General features: G+C 37.8%; 2 protein-coding genes and 1 pseudogene across 3 annotated transcripts in view; all 3 read left to right on the plus strand.

Moving 5' to 3' along the window:
• OR2L13 (olfactory receptor family 2 subfamily L member 13) overlaps positions 1–21,275 on the plus strand; it is a 163,987-nt gene that overhangs the window by 18,874 nt on the left and 123,838 nt on the right. The window lies entirely within an intron of this gene.
• On the plus strand, positions 9,183–10,336 carry OR2AK2 (olfactory receptor family 2 subfamily AK member 2). Its single transcript, NM_001004491.2, has one exon. The coding sequence runs from the start codon at positions 9,327–9,329 to the stop codon at positions 10,287–10,289; it is 963 nt and encodes a 320-aa protein (NP_001004491.2). The 5' UTR covers positions 9,183–9,326; the 3' UTR covers positions 10,290–10,336.
• On the plus strand, positions 18,693–19,626 carry OR2L9P (olfactory receptor family 2 subfamily L member 9 pseudogene; annotated as a pseudogene).

Consider the following 21,275-nt stretch of genomic DNA (forward strand, 5'->3'; position numbering starts at 1 on the left):
TTCTTCTAGGGTTTTTATGGTTTTAGGTCTAACATTTAAGTCTTTAATCCATCTTGAATTAATTTTTGTATAAGGTGTAAGGAAGGGATCCAGTTTCAGCTTTCTACATATGGCTAGCCAGTTTTCCCAGCACCATTTATTAAATAGGGAATCCTTTCCCCATTGCTTGTTTTTGTCAGGATTGTCAAAGATCAGAGAGTTGTAGATATGCGGCATTATTTCTGAGGGCTCTCTTCTGTTCCATTGGTCTATATCTCTGTTTTGGTACCAGTACCATGCTGTTTTGGTTACTGTAGCCTTGTAGTATAGTTTGAAGTCAGGTAGCGTGATGCCTCCAGCTTTGTTCTTTTGGCTTAGGATTGACTTGGCAATGTGGGCTCTCTTTTGGTTCCATATGAACTTTAAAGTAGTTTTTTCCAATTCTGTGAAGAAAGTCATTGGTAGCTTGATGGGGATGGCATTGAATCTATAAATTACCTTGGGCAGTATGGCCATTTTCATGATATTGATTCTTCCTACCCATGAGCATGGAATGTTCTTCCATTTCTTTGTATCCTCTTTCATTTCATTGAGCAGTGGTTTGTAGTTGTCCTTGAAGAGGTCCTTCACGTCCCTTCTAAGTTGGATTCCTAAGTATTTTATTCTCTTTGAAGCAATTGTGAATGGGAGTTCACTCATGATTTGGCTCTCTGTTTGTCTGTTATTCGTGTAGAAGAATGCTTGTGATTTTTGCACATTGATTTTGTATCTTGAGACTGTGCTGAAGTTGCCTATCAGCTTAAGGAGATTTTGGGCTGAGACAATGGCGTTTTCTAGATATACAATCATGTCATCTGCAAACAGGGACAATTTGACTTCCTCTTTTCCCAGTTGAATCCCCTTTATTTCCTTCTCCTGCCTGATTGCCCTGGCCAGAACTTCCAACACTATGTTGAATAGGAGTGGTGAGAGAGGGCATCCCTGTCTTGTGCCAGTTTTCAAAGAGAATGCTTCCAGTTTTTGCCCATTCAATATGATATTGGCTGTAAGTTTGTCATAGATAGCTCTTATTATTTTGAGATATGTCCCTTCAATACCTAATTTATTGAGAGTTTTTAGCATGAACGTTGTTGAATTTTGTCGAAGGCCTTTTCTGCATCTATTGAGATAATCATAGGTTTTTGTCATTGGTTCTGTTTATATGCTGGATTACATTTATTGATTTGCATATGTTGAACCAACCTTGCATCCCAGGGATGAAGCCCACTTGATCATGGTGGATAAGCTTTTTGATGTGCTGCTGGATTCGGTTTGCCAGTATTTTACTGAGGATTTTTGCGTCGATGTTCATCAGGGATATTGGTCTAAAATTCTCTTTTTTTGTTGTGTCTCTGCCTGGCTTTGGTATCAGGATGATGCTGGCTTCATAAAATGAGTTAAGGAGGATTCCCTCTTTTTCTATTGGTTGGAATAGTTTCAGAAAGAATGGTACGAGCTCCTCCTTATACCTCTGGTAAATTCGGCTGTGAATCCATCTGGTCCTGGACTTTTTTTGGTTGGTAAGATATTAATTATTGCCTCAATTTCAGAGCCTGTTATTGGTCTATTCAGAGATTCAATTTCTTCCTGGTTTAGCCTTAGGAGGGTGTATGTGTTGAGGAATTTATCCATTTCTTCTAGATTTTCTAGTTTATTTGCGTAGAGGTGTTTGTAGTATTCTCTGATGGTAGTTTGTATTTCTGTGGGATCGGTGGTGATATACCCTTTATCATTTTTTATTGTATCTATTTGATTCTTCTCTGTTTTCTTCTTTATTATCCTTGCTAGTGGTCTGTCAATTTTGTTGATCTTTTCAAAAAACCAGCTCCTGGATTCATTGATTTTTTGAAGGGTTTTTGTGCCTCTATTTCCTTCAGTTCTGCTCTGATCTTAGTTATTTCTTGCCTTCTGCTAGCTTTTGAATGTGTTTGCTCTTGCTTCTCTAGTTTTTTTAATGGTGATGTTAGGGTGTCAATTTTAGATCTTTCCTGCTTTCTCTTGTGGGCATTTAGTGCTATTAATTTCCCTCTACATACTGCTTTGAATGTGTCCCAGAGATTCTGGTATGTTGTGTCTTTGTTCTTGTTGGTTTCAAAGAACATCTTTATTCCTGCCTTCATTTCGTTATGTACCCAGTAGTCATTCAGGAGCAGGATGTTCAGTTTCCATGTAGTTGAGCAGTTTTGAGTGAGTTTTTTAACCCCAAGGTCTAGTTTGATTGCACTGTGGTCTGAGAGACAGTTTGTTATAATTTCTGTTCTTTTAGATTTGCTGAGGAGTGCTTTACTTCCAACTATGTGGTCAATTTTGGAATAGGTGTGTTGTGGTGCTGAAAAAAATGTGTATTCTGTTGATTTGGGGTGGAGAGTTCCGTAGATGTCTATTAGGTCCGCTTGGTGCAGAGCTGAGTTCAATTGCTGGATATCTTTGTTAACTTTCTGTCTCTTTGATCTTTCTAATGTTGACAGTGGGGTGTTAAAGTCTCCCATTATTATTGTGTGGGAGTCTAAGTCTCTTTGTAGGTCTCTACGGACTTGCTTTATGAATCTGGGTGCTCCTGTATTGGGTGCATATATATTTAGGATAGTTAGCTCTTCTCGTTGAATTGATCCCTTTACCATTATGTAATGGCCTTCTTTGTCTCTTTTGATCTTTGTTGGTTTAAAGTCTATTTTGTCAGAGACTAGGATTGCAACCCCTGCCTTTTTTTGTTTTCCATTTGCTTGGTAGATCTTCCTCCATCCTTTTATTTTGAGCCTATGTGTGTCTCTGCACGTGAGATGGTTTTCCTGAATACAGCACACTGATGGGTTTTGACTCTTTATCCAATGTGCCAGCCTGTGTCTTTTAATTGGAATATTTAGCCCATTTACTTTTAAGGTTAATATTGTTATGTGTGAATTTGATCCTGTCATTATGATGTTAGCTGGTTATTTTGCTCGTTAGTTGATGTAGTTTCTTCCTAGCCTCGATGGTCTTTACAATTTGGCATGATTTTGCAGTGGCTGGTACCGGTTGTTCCTTTCCATCTTTAGTGCTTCCTTCAGGAGCTCTTTTAGGTCAGGCCTGGTGGTGACAAAATCTCTCAGCATTTGCTTGTCTGTAAAGTATTTTATTTCTCCTTCACTTATGAAGCTTAGTTTGGCTGGATATGAAATTCTGGGTTGAAAATTCTTTTCTTTAAGAATGTTGAATATTGGCCCCCACTCTCTTCTGGCTTGTAGAGTTTCTGCTGAGAGATCTGCTGTTAGTCCGATGGGCTTCCCTTTATGGGTAACTAGACTTTTCTTTCTGGCTGCCCTTAACATTTTTTCCTTCATTTATACTTTGGTGAATCTGACATTTGCTTTTCTTGGAGTTGCTCTTCTCAAGAAGTATCTTTGTGGCGTTCTGTGTATTTCCTGAATTTGAATGTTGGCCTGCCTTGCTAGATTGGGAAAGTTCTCTTGGATAATATCCTGCAGAGTGTTTTGCAACTTGGTTCCATTCTCCTCGTCACTTTCAGGTACACCAATCAGATGTAGATTTGGTCTTTTCACATAGTCCCATATTTCTTGGAGGCTTTGTTCATTTCTTTTTATTCTTTTTTCTCTAAACTTCTCTTCTCACTTCATTTCATTCATTTGATATTCCATCACTGATACCCTTTCTTCCAGTTGATTGAAGTGGCAACTGAGGCTTGTGCATTCGTCACGTAGTTCTTGTGCCTTGGTTTTCAGCTCCATCAGGTCTTTTAAGGACTTCTCTGCATTGGTTATTCTAGTCAGCCATTCATCTAATTTTTTTCAAGGTTTTTAACTTCTTTGCAATGGGTTCGAACTTCCTCCTTTAGCTCAGAGTAGTTTGATCATCTGAAGCCTTCTTCTCTCAACTCGTCAGTCATTCTCCGTCCAGCTTTGTTCCATTGCTGGTGAGGAACTGCGTTCCTTTGGAGGAGGAGAGGCGCTCTGATTTTTAGAGTTTCCAGTTTTTCTGCTCTGTTTTTTCCCCATCTTTGTGGTTTTATCTACCTTTGGTCTTTGATGATGGTGACGTACAGATGGGGTTTTGGTGTGGATGTCCTTTCTGTTTGTTAGTTTTCCTTCTAACAGTCAGGACCCTCAGCTGCAGTTCTGTTGGAGTTTGCTGGAGGTCCACTCCAGACCCTGTTTACCTGGGTATCAGCAGCGGAGGCTGCAGAACAGCGGATATTGGTGAACAGCAAGTGTTGCCGCCTGATCGTTCCTCTGGAAGTTTTGTCTCAGAGGAGTACCAGGCCGTGTGAGGTGTCAGTCCACCCCTACTGGGGGGTGCCTCCCATTTAGGCTACTCAGGGGTCAGGGACCCACTTGAGGAGGCAGTCTGTCTGTTCTCAGATCTTCAGCTGCATGCTGGGAGAACCACTACTCTCTTCAAAGCTGTCAGACAGGGACCTTTAAGTCTGCAGAGGTTTCTGCTGCCTTTTGTTCAGGTATGCCCTGCCCCCAGAGGTGGAGTTTACAGAGGCAGGCAGGCCTCCTTGAGCTGCGGTGGGCTGCACCCAGTTCGAGCCTCCTGGCTGCTTTTTTTTACCTACTCAAGCCTCAGCAATGGCAGGCACCCCTCCCCCAGCCTCGCTGCCACCTTGCAGTTGGATCTCAGACTGCTGTGCTAGCAATGAGTGAGGCTCCGTTGGCGTAGGACCCTCTGAGCTAGGCGCGGGATTAATCTCCTGGTGTGCCATTTGCTAAGACCATTCGAAAGTGCAGTATTAGGGTGGGAGTGACCCGATTTTCCAGGTGCTGTCTGTCACCCCTTTCTTTGACTAGGAAAGGGATTTCCCTGACCCCTTGCACTTCTCAGGTGAGGCCATGCCTTGCCCTGCTTTGGCTCACGCTCAGTGTGCTGCACCCAGTGTCCTGTACCCACTGTCCGACAATCCTGTGTGAGATGAACCCGGTACCTCAGTTGGAAATGCAGAAATTACCCGTCTTCTGCGTCGCTCACGCTGGGAGCTGTAGACTAGAGCTGTTCCTATTCGGCCATCTTGGCTCCACCTCCAGAAAATTTATTTTCATTGAGATATAAAAGAAACATTTTTAAAAATCGGGTGGCTCATAAATTTTCAGAAACACAGAAGAATCAGGCTTGGTATACACACATTATGCACAATGCCCAATATGAGCCTGGAATAAATTCCACACATCACCAGGACACAGACAGATAAATGGGCATAATCTCCAGCCTAGAACTGTCAGGTCAAGTAACCTCAAGGAAGACCACATTGCATAGGTTTGAGGAAGTATTTGTAAGAAGATAGTATTGAGAACTGGGTCTTGGAAGGAATTGGGCATGTGGACTGTGGCTCATGAAATTGACTTGAGGCAGATAGATGAGAAAGGATGGGAATGTAATGATAAGTAATCTACAAGCCTGTTTGTAAGGCTTGTGATGGTAAAGTAAGGTGCCCTTTGGGAAGCAGGCTAATTGAACTGCCTAGATTCAAGGAAGGCAAAGACTCCGATGTCCGGTTCAGATGGACCATGGATAATATACAAGGAAATATCTCCTAGTAGAGTCAGGGATCATGGACAATATTGGGTCAGAAATTTGTCCCAAGATCAGGATCCACATCCAGAGAAAGAAGCCATGTCTGGACCTGAAGAGGAGGACTCCCTGTGTTTTTATTGGGAGGCAATGACTGGGTAGAACTTTGGGGTGTCTTTCCAGACGGTGTTTAAATAATTTCATGGATAAAATGCAGTTTACATTTTTGGATATTTGGTAGCTAGCAGAGCTCAGTATTACACACTTTGGCAAAGGCCAAAAAAAAAGCCTGATTCTCGTGTGTTTCTGAAAATGTATGAGCCACCCGATTTTTAACTTTTGACTCATTAAAAATTCAGAATCTTACTTGTAAAGATTAGAACAGTTACTGGAAGGGGGCCAATTTGGTCAGGGAGAACCTATTTTCGTTGCTGCTTCCAGTGTGATCATATGATCCCTCCCCTCCTCCATCTCAGATTTCCAGATTTTCAGAATGGAGTCCAATTTTTTGCTTTGGCCCAGAGGAGAAAGTCTAAGAAATATGTAAATATACTGAGTAAACTTAAAAATTTCACAGAAGTTGTGCCTTTACCAGAAGTAGTGGGTTATTTACCTTCAGTATCCTCTATGAATTCTATAATTGTAAACTGGTGAGACTAGAGTGCCAATTAGGTAATTGCAAAGATATTTCCCTGGTGCTAAATCTTAATTAGTGGAGACAGCTACCAGGGATCAGATGCTAACTACTGATTCAGTAGACTATTGAAAGTAAATTAATACAAGTATCTACCATTCACAGAAGAAAGTATTGACTCCAGGAGAAGGAGAAGGGCTGAATGTCAGGAAGCAGACACTGGCTGTGTGACACTGATTTAAACTGCAAGTAGAAATTCATCAGGGCTACTAATTTTATCACAAGTTAGAGTTAATGACCTGATTAAATATCTCATAAGTATTGAATGGTTTATCCCTATTTGCCCTATAAATTTCACCTTTTCAATGTGCAGTTTTACCAGCGTAAACTTTTTTGAAAATCTAACTATCACATTATAGCAGAAGTGTCTACTTTTACTATTATCAGCTAAAACATCTTTTTGGCCTCCTAATAAACTGCTTTGTTAGAAATATAGTTGCACTGTATCTTCCCAGGTAGTTTTAATTGACTTTCTACAAATCGCCAAATTTAATTGTTCCTAGATAGTTGCATGTTTTAAAGAAATCCAGGAAAAATACTCCTAAATATGACAAAAATATTTGATGCAATTCCTTGCTCATATTATTATTCTTGTAAATTATTTTTCTTTAATTTCTAAATAATACATGTATTTTCTTTTTTTAAGAATAAGACTCAAATTTCAATACACAATAAATTGAAGAAATAGATAAGTTTGGACTTGCAAATGTTCTAGTCAGATTATCACAGGGCAAACCGCAAAATTGAGGCTCAGCCCGGGATGCCATGTGGGTTCTTGCCTTCATGCAGGAAGGAATTCAAGAGCAAGCCAACAGAGTAAAGTGAAAGCAAGTTTATTGAAAAGTCAAGGAATAAAAAGGTGCCTACTCATAGGCAGAGTAGCAGCATGAGCTTACCACATACTTGGGGTTGTTATTTCTTGATTATATGCTAAACAAGGAGTGAATTCTTCATGTTTTCTGGGAAAGGTGAGGGGAGTTCCAGGAACGGAGGGGTCCTCACCTTTTCAGACCATATAGGGTAACTTCTGGACTTTGCCATGGCATTTGTAAACTGTCATGGTGCTGGTGGGAGTTTCCTTTGGTATGTTAATGTATTCTAATTATAATGAGCAGTGAGGACCACCAGAGGTGGCTTTCATTGCCATGATGGTTTTGGTAGGTTTCAGTCAGCTTATTTACCACATCCTGTTTTATCAGTGGAGTCTTTGTTCCTTGTATCTTTTGAAACAAGTCCGGCTGAATTCCTATCTCAGGAATATTCAAGGGCATTTTGAAAAACATACATGCTTGGGTTGAAACTCCAGATTTCAGATTTTTAGTATAATCGAGATATGCCTTTTTCTTATGTCTATGTTTTAGTTAATTTTGGCATAGTTATAAGTAATTAATATATGACAATAACATAAGCATAAAATTAGAAAAACATTTAGAATTTAGGCTGATTTTCTTTCCAATCTGCATTCCTCATATATGTCCTCTGTCCTCTCTCTAGTACAAAAAGGGTTTCCAGTTCATTGTGTATCATTCCATAGGTAGACACATATATGACCATATATTATTTTTATTAATTACTATTCTGCATCTTACTTTTATTAATGTTGTTATGGTAAAATTTAAAACACATACACACACATAGCCATAGGCAAGATAACCACAAGGAAACAAGGTATGATAAATTGAACACCTGTGTGACCACTTGCCAGTTCAGGATATAGACCAATGTCAGCACGCTCAGAAGCCCTTTGCATTCCCATTTCCAAACAAAAAGTCCTCCTTCCACCTGAATGTAATTACTATCTTATCTTGTAGTAATACTCTTCATACTTTATTTATAAGTTCTAAAGAAATGTGTAAACAGTGTACATTAATTTTAAACCACTTATTCTACTGAGTTTGGCCTCCAGTGAGTTTTGTGTTTATGACACATTCCTGTCTCTCATTTTTATTGACATATAATATTTCATTGTGTCATCTTACTGCAGTGTGTTTAGCCATATCAGGATTGATGGGCACCTATTTGGATTCTATCACATCTGATGCTGTAATGGAGATGGCTATAGAAATCTACTGGTCTTCCTGTGCAAAGCTCTAATTGATTATATACCCAGGAACTGCTGCGTTATAGCACAAGTAAATTCCAAATTTACTAGAAAATAACACATGACTTCCAAAGAGTATGAAATTTGCACTCTATTGGAAGACTTTGGAAGTCATAATGATCAAATTTATCATCCACACAATTTTTCTGTGTATTTCTTTTATTATTTTTAAAGTTTCACAATTCTGGTATATATAGTGCATGGTGGTGTTACTTTACATTTCTCTGGTTTTTAGAATAATATTTAATACTCTATTTTATATTAACATAGCATAGTTCATTAATTCATTCTACTTTGGGACATTTTCAGTTTCTGACTATTTTGAGTAATGCTGCTATGAATTTTCTTCTACACATCTATGATACGTGTTCTTAAACTTTTATCTTTTTTATAAGTTTACACACATATGTGTATATATGTGTATATGTATTGCTGTACACATACATAAGCATGCATGTTATATATTAGCATATATGTAATATATAATATATTGAAGTATATATAGAAATTACATATATTTTTATATAATATTCATAAATACACATGAGTAATATGTTTATAGATACGTGTATATAAAATATACTTGTCTTTAAAAGATATATAACTATGAGTATATATAATTCATATATACTTAAGTGTATATAAATATACATTTACATATATTTCTATTACTATATGTAAGTATATTTAAGTATTATATATGTATATGTACATATACTTACATATAATTTAAGTTATCTCATGTATGTTTGCATATATAATCTGTCTATACATTAGGTAATTCTTCCAAAAAGTTATAAAAATTTGCATCCCAGTAACAGTATGCGAGAATGTGTTTGCCATTTTGTACCAGAAAGCACTTTGTGCTCTAAACATGTAGATAGTTGCCAAACATGTAAGTGAATATTTATTTCTGAATGCCATGTCATTTTACTTTCTCTTAAGGGAAGTCAACATTATTACATGAACATTTCAGATGTCATCTCCTTTGATATTTTGGTTTCAGCCATGAAAACAGGAAATCAAAGTTTTGGGACAGATTTTCTACTTGTTGGTCTTTTCCAATATGGCTGGATAAACTCTCTTCTCTTTGTCGTCATTGCCACCCTCTTTACAGTTGCTCTGACAGGAAATATCATGCTGATCCACCTCATTCGACTGAACACCAGACTCCACACTCCAATGTACTTTCTGCTCAGTCAGCTCTCCATCGTTGACCTCATGTACATCTCCACCACAGTGCCCAAGATGGCAGTCAGCTTCCTCTCACAGAGTAAGACCATTAGATTTTTGGGCTGTGAGATTCAAACGTATGTGTTCTTGGCCCTTGGTGGAACTGAAGCCCTTCTCCTTGGTTTTATGTCTTATGATCGCTATGTAGCTATCTGTCACCCTTTACATTATCCTATGCTTATGAGCAAGAAGATCTGCTGCCTCATGGTTGCATGTGCATGGGCCAGTGGTTCTATCAATGCTTTCATACATACATTGTATGTGTTTCAGCTTCCATTCTGTAGGTCTCGGCTCATTAACCACTTTTTCTGTGAAGTTCCAGCTCTACTATCATTGGTGTGTCAGGACACCTCCCAGTATGAGTATACAGTCCTCCTGAGTGGACTTATTATCTTGCTACTACCATTCCTAGCCATTCTGGCTTCCTATGCTCGTGTGCTTATTGTGGTATTCCAGATGAGCTCAGGAAAAGGACAGGCAAAAGCTGTTTCCACTTGTTCCTCCCACCTGATTGTGGCAAGCCTGTTCTATGCAACCACTCTCTTTACCTACACAAGGCCACACTCCTTGCGTTCCCCTTCACGGGATAAGGCGGTGGCAGTATTTTACACCATTGTCACACCTCTACTGAACCCATTTATCTACAGCCTGAGAAATAAGGAAGTGACGGGGGCAGTGAGGAGACTGTTGGGATATTGGATATGCTGTAGAAAATATGACTTCAGATCTCTGTATTGATTGAGCATTAACAACATAAAAAGCTGTTCCTGAAAACTATCTGGAAAGATATAAATATGTGTTTTCTGTATAGAAGTCACAAAAACAGTGTTTATCAATCTTGTTTAACTTGTAAAGCAATAGAATTCAGGCTTCTTAAATCTGTGTTCCCCTGGCATTTTAATGCTTTTACTTGCCCTCTTGAATACTCTGAAATGTGAACCATAAAAATAAAATCTACTTAAACATTTAACCTCAAGATAATCTATATAACAACCAAAGTTAACAGAGAGAAAAATGCATAATTCATTTATTCCTTCTTTCACTCAGGTGTTTTAATGCTTTAATTTGTGTGTGACACTGTTACAGACACTGGTCATGTGAGAGTAAACAAAAATGAAAGCTGACAGAAATCTCTGCTGATCGGCAAACTTAATTTCTGTTCCTGTTTTCCTTTCGTGGTTTTCATGCTTGATTAATAATGTTTCTTTAAGAAAATCCAGTGATTGAAATTTATTAATATTGAATAATGTATTAACAGGAAAGAAATTGCTGTTTTCTTATCTTGAGGAAGAGAAGAGTCAAAGCTTACAGCATCTGAAGGGAAAATCATGACAGGTGGCAGTAGAAAAGAGAGTAGGGTGAAACAAAGACAGGAGTATCTATTGATGTGACTCTTTTCCTTCTGCACCGTAACACCTTTTGTGCATGCAAACACACCACACACCACACACACACACACACACACGAGGTGCACACCCGGGGCCACCCAGGCACTTCTGACAAGTTCCTTTAAGGGGGATTACACAACTGCTTTTCCCTCTGCCTCTATTTTCAGAAAATATTCTCTTAAGACACAATGCACATCATCCATTCATTTCTTTCTTTCTTTCTTTTTTTGTTTGTTTGTTTGTTTTTTTGTTTTTTTGAGATAGAGTCTTGTTCTCTCGCCCAGGCTGGAGTGCAGTGGCTTGAGCTTGGCTCACTGCAACCTCTGCCCCTCGGGTTCAAGCGATTCTCCTGCCTCAGGCTCCCAAATAGTTGAGATTACAGGCACCCGCCACCACACCCGGCTAATTTTTGTATTTTTAGTAGAGACTGGTTTTCACCATGTTGCTCAGGCTGGTTTCGAACTCCTGATCTCAAGTGATCCTTCTGCCTTGGCCTCCCAAAGTGCTGGGATTACAGGCATGAGCCACTGCGCCCAGCCTCAGTCATTTATTAATACAAAATTAATATATCAAATTATTGTTATTGATACTATTGATGTTTTTTAGTATCAATATTCCATTATTAAACATTTGATTATTTTTTATTTAATCAATTTGTCCAGAAATACCAGCTTTTGATTTCTATTTTTTCTTTTTCCTCCCCCCTTACTTCATTGACCTCCTATAATTACCTACCTATTTAAATATGAATCTCAAACAGCTCTTTATATATTATTTTTGAGAATCCTAGTATTATTAAAAAATAATTTCACAATGTCTTTTACTTCCTAACCAGTTGTAAGTTCTCCTCCTCTTCCTCCTTCTCCTCCTCCTCCTTCTCCTCCTCGTCCTTCCTTCCTCCTCCTTCCTCGTCCTCTTCCTCTTCTTCTTCTTCCTTCTTTCTTCTTTCTTTCTTCTTTTTCTCCTTCTCCTCATCCTCCTCCTCTCGTTCTCCTTCTTCTTCCTTTTAAATCTCTTCTCATTACTGTGTATCATATCAGAAATCAAGACTTTCTGTTACAGAAAGTAGAAAGGAGAAAGAGGAACAAACGTTTGTGTGTAAAAAGCATATATGTGGTGCTTTTTATTCATCGCATAAAGTAAACCATGAATAATCATAATAACCATAAATAATAATAAACTTTATAATATAAAAGGAGAATATGACTCCACTTTTATAGATAATTAAACTGAATGTCAGAGAGTTTATGTAACTTACCCTAAATCATAAAACTAAGAAGTTTTAAGATTAGAAGAGTTCAATGGAACCATCCTGCTTTTGGAAGAATACCTTTTGGGACAAGACATTTTTATTTATTTATTTTTTTTAGTATACTTTAAGTTCTAGGGTACATGTGCACACTGTGCAGGTTTGTTACATAGGTATACATATGCCATGTTGGTTTGCTGCACCCATCAACTTGTCATTTACATTAGATATTTCTCCTAGTGCTATCCTTCCCCCAGCCCCCCACCCCCCAACAGGCCCAGGTGAGTGATGTTCCCCACCCTGTATCCAAGTGTTCTCATTGTTCAATTCCCACCTATGACTGAGAACATATGGTGTTTGGTTTTCTGTCCTTGTGATAGTTTGCTGAGAATGATGGTTTCCAGCTCCATCCATGTCCCTGCAAAGGACATGAACGCATCCTTTTTTATGGCTGCATAGTATTCCATGGTGTATATGTGCCACATTTTCTTAATCCAGTCTATCATTGATGGACATTTGGGTTGGTTCCAAGTCTTTGCTATTGTGAATGGTGCTGCAATAAACATACGTGTGCATGTGTCTTTATAGCAGCATGATTTATAATCCTTTGGGTATATACCCAGTAATGGGATGGCTGGGTCAGATGGTATTTCTAGTTCTAGATCCGTGAGGAATCGCCACACTGTCTTCCGCAATGGTTGAACTAATTTACACTTCCATCAACAGTGTAAAAGTGTTCCTATTTCTCCACATCCTCTCCAACATCTGTTGTTTCCTGACTTTTTAATGATCACCATTCTAACTGGCGTGAGATGGTATCTCATTGTAGTTTTGATTTGCATTCCTCTGATGACCAGTGATGATGAGCATTTTTTCATGTGTCTGTTTCCTGCATAAATGTCTTCTTTTGAGAAGTGTCTGCTCATATCCTTTGCCCATTTTTTGATGGGGTTGTTTGTTTTTTTCTTGTAAATTTGTTTAAGTTCTTCATAGATTCTGGGTATTAGCCCTTTGTCAGATGGGTAGATTGCAAAATTTTCTCCCATTCTGTAGGTTGCCTGTTCACTCTGATGGTAGTTTCTTTTGCTGTGCAAAAGCTCTTTAGTTTAATTAGATCCCATTTGTCAATTTTGGCTTTTGTTGCCATTGCTTTTGGTGTTTTAGTCATGAAGTCTTCATGGGACAAGGCATTTTTATAACACACGTTCCCCTATGTTATTACTAGCTCTTTCTTGACACATTGGTTATTAACAAAGTGTAGGCTAGCAGGATTGGATGCTTTCCCAAGAAGGAGATAATTACTTTACAAATGCTATCTCATTTAACAATAGTTTAAAGCAGACCTCACTTTCAAATTAGTCATATCCTGATGTTAGCAGTATATTAGCAAAACAGGCCATTTTCTGCCAGGATTAAATATCTCCAGATTTGAAAATAATCTGCATGAAATGTAGAAAGTATTTGGTAATCTTTTTTCTCCTAAATGTGATCCAGTTGGCATTTTCAGAGCCTGAAGCTAAGGGCTTTATTCAGATGCCTTGCATTTTGTACCAGCAGCAAAAGCACCGATGAGATCTACATGGTGATCCAGGGGGCCAGAGCCATGGAATACTAGGAACCTTCTACATGATGGCTGCTCCTGATGCAGATTATTGCTAAGACTCTGAGACTGAGTGCATACAACATGGGTTGGTGTTCTCTGAAGCTTTTGGGTTAATTCCGCCAGGTTTTTCACTTCCCGGCCAACTCCTATGCAGAACTATACTTCAGTCAGTTACTGAATGCTTATGTTTTGGTCATGTACTACAGCATTGTAATAACCTGCCAGAATTAAGAAAACCTGTGTTGCCAGGGAGGATGTTTTATTTTTTTATTTCCAAAATTATTTCCATAATTTTGAGGATTTCCTCAAAATTAATAGCATTTTGTAAACAAAGAATCTGGATCTCCCCTAATAATTTAATAACTATTCCATTTTATAGTCTCTCATATACATTTTATAAAATTTGTAAAACATGACATTTGCCTGTCAATTAACATGTATACGTATGTAACTAACCTGTACATTGTGCACATGTACCCTAAAACTTAAAGTATAATAATAATTAAAAACAAACAAACAAAAAACATGGTCTCTGAGATCACCTTCGCTTTCATATTGTATTCCATGGCAACAATGTAATAGTTTTGTAATAGTTTTTCTTGTTATGCATCATGAAGAATCTTGGGGAAAAACCCACAACTTGTGTGTATATAGGATTTTTCCCCCTTTCTTTTGGGTTACTTCTTAGAATGCAACTTGGATCATATTCAATAGTACCAAGGGACAAGACTAACTCTACAGTTTTCATCCTATATTGTCAACCCGATTTTATAAAGATTTTTTATTTTTACTCTAAAATTAATCTTCACTATATTCCAACTGGCAAAGCATATTATAAAGAAACACATAAATTTCTAGGTGAGTCACTAGGAGATATACAAAGGGATGTAAAACTTGTAGAAGAGTTACTCACGTAACTTTATTTATTCAGATCCATTGCAGCCCCAGATCCCAGGCTCTGGTGTAAGAGCTATTTTATCAACGTGGTACATGGAGCTATTTTATCACTGAGGAATCTTTATGGCTTCATGCATGCAGGAGGAGACAGGTCAGCTGGCCCTTTCTGAAAGAACCATTCTTCCTATGTATTTAACTCAAAGTAATCAATATTCCAATTTGTTGTTTGGGAGATGGCATGTCCTTCACTCCTTTACTGATAAATGACTATATAGATACGGTAATTTTCAGGCAAGAAATTTGGCAGCTTTAAAGAGACTGTTGATTTTACCAAGTAAACAAATATAAACATATATTTATTTCTATATCAACTTATTTATAAATATATACTCATGTGATCTCCAAAGATAAAAAAATTAAATCCAAAAATTAACTGTGATACAATAGTTTCACATACCTGGAGACTGTTTTTTTACTTTGCTTTTTTTTAGTCTGAATCTTTTCTTTTCTTCAAATAAGGAGCAGAAGAACGTAGAGCAGACACTATTAGGGAGCACCAGCCATCGAGATCCAGGTTGGCAGGTCCTTGCAGTACTTTGGAAGTAGTGGCACCTAGGGATTGTGGAAGAAAGGTTGGTTGAGGCATTTATCCTGAGCCTGCAGGTTGTGCTCTCGGCTATCTAACAGAACTCAGCCAATTTGTTATAGTTTAAACCTGTTTTATTCCCATAAACATTGACATAATTTGATGATAGGGTCATGTCATCAATATTCTGCTTCCATATTCTCTTTCAGACACATTAAGTGAATTGGTTTAACCCTCATCTAGATAAAGTAAAGTGAGTATAACTTCTTGTATAAGGTGTAAGAAAGGGGTCCAGTTTCAGTTTTCTGCATATGGCTAGACTTAAACTTCCACGCTATAATAGTGGGAGACTTTAACACCCCACTGTCAATATTACACAGATCAATGAGACTGAAAATTTACAAGGATATTCAGGACTGGAACTCAGCTCTGGACCAAGCGGACCGAATAGACATCTACAGAACTCTCCACCCCAAATCAATGGAATGTACATTCTTTTCAGCAACACATAACCCTTATTCTAAAATTGACCACATAATTGGAAGTCAAACACTCCTCAGCAAATGCAAAAGGGCAGAAGTAATAGCAAACAGTCTCTGAGACCACAGTGCAATCAAATTAGAACTCAGGGTTAAGGGACTCACTCAAAACTGTACAACTACATGGAAACTGAACAACCTGCTCCTGAATGAATACTGGGTAAATAACGAAATTAAGGCTTAAATAAATAAGTTGTTTGAAACCAGTGAGAACAAAGACATAACATACCAGAAGATCTGGGACACAGCTAAAGCGGTGTTTAGAGGAAAACTGATAGCACTAAATGCCCACATTAGAAAAGGGGAAAAATCTAAAATTGACACACTAACATCACAATTAAAAGAAATAGAGAAGCAAGAGCAAACAAATTCAAATGACTGCAGAAGACAAGAAATAACCAAGATCAGAGTTTAACTGAAAGAGATGGAGACATGAAAAACCCTTCAAAAAAATCAGTGAATCCAGGAGCTGGTTTTTTGAAAAGATTAACAAAATAGACAACTAGCGACAAATAAAGAAGAAAAGAGAGAAGAATCAAATAGACACAATAAAAAATGATAAAGGGGATATCACCACTGATCCCACAGAAATACAAACTCGCATCAGAGAATACTATAAACATCTCTATGCAAATAAACTAGAAAACCCGGAAGAAATGGATAAATTCCTGGACACATACACTCTCTCAAGACTAAACCAGGAAGAAGTCGAATCCCTAAATAGACCAATAACAAGTTCTGAAATTGAGGCAGTAATTAATAGCCTACAAAAACAAAACAAAACAAAAAAAACCCAGGACCAGACAGATTCACAGCCAAATTCAACCAGAGGTACAAAGAAGAGTTGGTACCATTCATTCTGAAACTATTCCAAACAATAGAAAAAGAGGAACTCCTCCTTAACTCATTTTATGAGGCAAGCATCATCCTGATTCCAAAACTTGGCAGAGACACAACAAAAAAACAAAATTTCAAGCCAATATCCCCAATGAACATTGATGTGAAAATCCTCAATAAAATACTGGAAAGCTGAATCCAGCAGTACATCAAAAAGCTTATCCACCACGGTCAAGTTGGCTTCATCCCTGGTATGCATGGTTGATTCAACATATGCAAATAAATAAATGCAATCCATCAAATAAACAGAACCAATGACAAAAACCACATGATTATCTTGATAGATGCAGGAAAGGCTTTCAATAAAATTCAACACCCCTTCATGCTAAAAACACTCAATAAATTAGGTATTGATGAAATATGTCTCAAATTAATAAAAGCTATTTATGACAAACACATACCCAATGTCACACTGAATGGGCAAAATCTGGAGGCATCCCATTTGAAAACCATAACAAGACAAAAAATGCCCTCTCTCACCACTCCTGGGCAACATAGTATTGGAAGTTCTGGCCAGGGCAATTAGGCAAGAGAAAGAAATAAAGGATATTCAAATAGGAAGGGAGGAAGTCCAATTGCCTCTGTTTGCAGATGACATAATTGTATACTTAGAAATCCCCATCATCTCCACCCAAAAACTCCTTAAGCTGATAAGCAACTTCAGCAAAGCCTCAGGATACAAAATCAATGTGCAAAAATCACTAGCATTCTTATACATCAATAATAGACAGACAGAGAGCCAAATCATGAGTGAACTCCCATTCACAATTGCTACAAAGAAAATAAAATACCTAGGAATACAACTTACAAGCAATGTGCAGGGCCTGTTAAAGGAGAACTACAAAAAGTGGGCGAAGGATATGAACAGACACTTCCCAAAAGAAGATATTTATGTGGCCAACAAACATTTGAAAAAAAGCTCATTATCACTAGTCATTAGAGAAATGCAAATCAAAACCACAATAAGATATCTTCTCATGCCAGTTAGAATGGTGATCATTAAAATGTCGGGAAACAACAGATGCTGGTGAGCAAGTGGAGAAATAGGAAAGCTTTTACACTACTAATGGGAGTGTAAATTAGTTCAACCATTGTGGGAGACAGTGTGGCGATTGCTCAAGGATTTAGAACCAGAAATACCATTTGCTCTAGCAATCCCATTCCTGGGTATATACCTAAAGGATTATAAATCGCTCTAGTATAAAGACACAGACACACGTATGTTTATAGCAGCACTATTTACAATAGCTAAGGCTGGGAACCAACCCAAATGCCCATCAATGATAGACTGGATAAAGTAAATGTGGCACATAGACATCATGGAATACTCTGCAGCCATGAAAAAGAACGAGTTCATATCCTTTGCAGGGACATGGATGAAGCTGGAAACCATCATTCTCTAGCCAACTAACACAGGAATAGAAAACTAAACATCTCACTCATAAGCGAGAGTTGAACAGTGAGAACACGTGGACACATGGAGGGGAACATCACACACCAGAACCTTTGTGGGGGGGCCAAGAGGAGGGATAGCATTAGGACAAATACCTAATGCATGCGGGGCTTAAAACCTAGGTGATGGATTGATGGATGCAACAAACCACCATGGTACATGTATACCTACATAACCTGCACATTCAGCACGTGTATCCCAGAACTTAAAGTATATTAAAAAAAAAAGTTATTTTGACAGAGAGAAAAAAGAGACCACATTTACATAATGTTTACTACGGTGTATTTTTATAATTGTTCTATTTTATTTTTATTTTTGTTAATCTCTTACTTGCCTAACTTATAAACTGAATGTTATCATAAGTATATATGGATCCAAAGAAATAGTGGAAATAGTGTATATGAGACTCAATATTATCCTCAGTTTCAGGCATTCCCTGGAGGTCTTGGAATGCATCCCCTGTGGATAAGGAGGAACTAATTCACTTATCTTTCTGCCGCCCTGCAGGAAGGATTGTAGGAATGCCCCATGGAAAAATACAATCAAACATCAACTGATTTCATCTTATTGGGGATCTTCCCACCATCCAGAATTGGCTTTCTCCTCTTCATTCTCCTTGTTCTCATTTTGCTATTGGCTTTAATTGGCAATCAGTCCGTGATCCTTCTCATCTTCTTGGACACTCATCTCCACACGCCCATTTATTTCTTACTTAGTCGGCTCTACCTCATTGACCTAAATTACATCTCCACTATTGTCCCCAGATGTTTTCTGATTTTCTGTTTGGAAACAAGTCTATTTCCTTCATTGGGTGTGGAATTCAGAGTTTCTTCTTTGTGACTTTAGCAGGTGCAGAAATGCTGCCACTGACATCAATGGCCTGTGATCATTATGTAGCTGTTTGCTTTCCTCTCCACTATCCCATCCATATGAGCAAGATAGTATGTGCTGATGATAATAGGATCTTGGATAATGGGCTCTATCGACACTTGTGCTCACATTTCATATATGCCCCATATCCCTGTTGCTCAGCCAGGGCTGTGATGTCCCAGCCATGGTGACTCTGGCCTTCGTGGACACCTGGGTCTATGAGTGCACAGTGTTTTTGAGCACAACCCTCTTTCTCATGTTTACCTTTATTGGTATTGCATGTTCCTATGGTGAGGTTCTCCTTACTGTCTACCACATTAAATCTGCAGAAGGGAGGAAGAAGGCCTATTCGACCTGTAGCACCCACCTCACTGTAGTAATTTTCTACTATGCAATGTTTGCTTATACCTATCTATATCCAAGATACCTGCAATCTCCAACAGAGGACAAGGTTCTGGCTGTGTTCTACACCATCCTCACCTCAATGCTCAACCCCATCATCTACAGCCTGAGAAACAGGGAGGTGATGGGGGCCCTGACACGAGTGAGTCAGAGAATCTTCCCTGTGAAGATGAAGACAAACTTTCTGCCTTAGAGTCCAAGCACTAGCCTCACATCAACTTAGCAGTGTACAGCAGTTACGAAAAATAATATTCCATGCCAGGAGCGTGGAACAAAAATTACTCTAGAAAATTTTTTAAAATTGAGTCTTGACATTATAATTGCATATTCTAAGACATCTATGTTGTTTTGTTTTTGCTGTTTCTTTTTATCAAAATATAGATCATTTATTTTCCACTAAATTGTGGGCAGTAGGGTTTCATTAAAATTAAAATAATAAATGTTCAAACTAATCATAGCATTCAGCATAATAGTTATATGTCATTCATTTCTCATTATTATTAAGACAAAAATAATAAATTATTTAAGATTACTGAATCTAATTGAATATAAGATAGTATTGTATTTTCTCTCAACCGGTGGGTATAGCTTATTCTTTTTCCTAAAGTAATGATTTATTAATAAATTTACCTCAGGATAAATAATTATTTTTGGGGATAAGCCAATTTGTCTTTAGAAAAACAAGAGTTTCTTTACAAGAGATTCTATAGGAGTTACAGTCTACTGAGTGTGGAGTAGATTATTTGAACCATTCCCCAGTCACATCACAACACACTCAATTTCTGCCCCCTTGGTTGCCACCGGTATTCTCATACAAGACATTCTGCCTGGACAATTTTATTTCTACTTATTTTTCTCATAAATCAACACATCTATACAGCTTGGGTTGGGGTCAAATCCTCTGCTCCACTATTTTTATACCTGCTTAGGCATGTGCCTAAAAGCATCAACATTATTTCCATAAAACTTATACTGTATTATATATTGAAAATTTGCTAAGAGAATGGGTTTTAAGTCCTCTTACTATAAAGATTGTAACTATGGAAAGTGCTGTATAATTTGAGTGTAGTAATCATTTCAACATGTAGTTGGATGTCAAACATCATGTTGTACAGTTTTAATAACATAAAATATGTGGCACATCTTTAATGAAATCAATAATCAATCAATCTAGACTGGCTTGAAAAGTTCCTAGAACTATCTAATTAAAATATATTTTGATGATGTCATTTTCTTTAGTAGGGTATGTGATTCTCTCCACTGGCTAATTCACTCCTACACTGGCAGGATCACACTGTACCTGGAACTTTATGTTCTCTTCATCTTAAGTTGAATGCAGTTTTCTGAACAAGTTTTGAAAAGGCAGTCCTTCATTACATTAAGGATACAATTGGTTTTACCTTTAATGCATTGTTCTCTATCCTCACAAGTTTCTTTCACTGCGTGAATCCTCATTTCTCCCTTTTCTCAGGGTACACATCAGGTATCATCTACATGAGGAAGCATGTTGAATGTGCTTGTTCAACTTTATCTTTATATTCTACTCTCATACATCCTACTATTTCTAATAATAACATGTGTCATCACAATGTATTGTAATAATCTCTTTTCTCTATGGCTCCACAGACTATTATCTGTTACCATCAGTGGCTTGGTCTTTTCCTCTTCACATGCCCAGATGATGCTCTTAAGTACCTGTTCTATGTTCAAATTATTCATACCTCAAAGCATGTTTATGTATTCTTAGCCCATTGCATTTTCACATAATAATTAGAATCAACCAGCAAAATGTCTATAGGAAAAAAGTTTTGTGTCTCAGTGTGAATTCTTACCATCTAGA

This window comes from Homo sapiens, chromosome 1, assembly GCF_000001405.40.
Source record: "Homo sapiens chromosome 1, GRCh38.p14 Primary Assembly".
Classification (NCBI taxonomy): domain Eukaryota; kingdom Metazoa; phylum Chordata; class Mammalia; order Primates; family Hominidae; genus Homo; species Homo sapiens.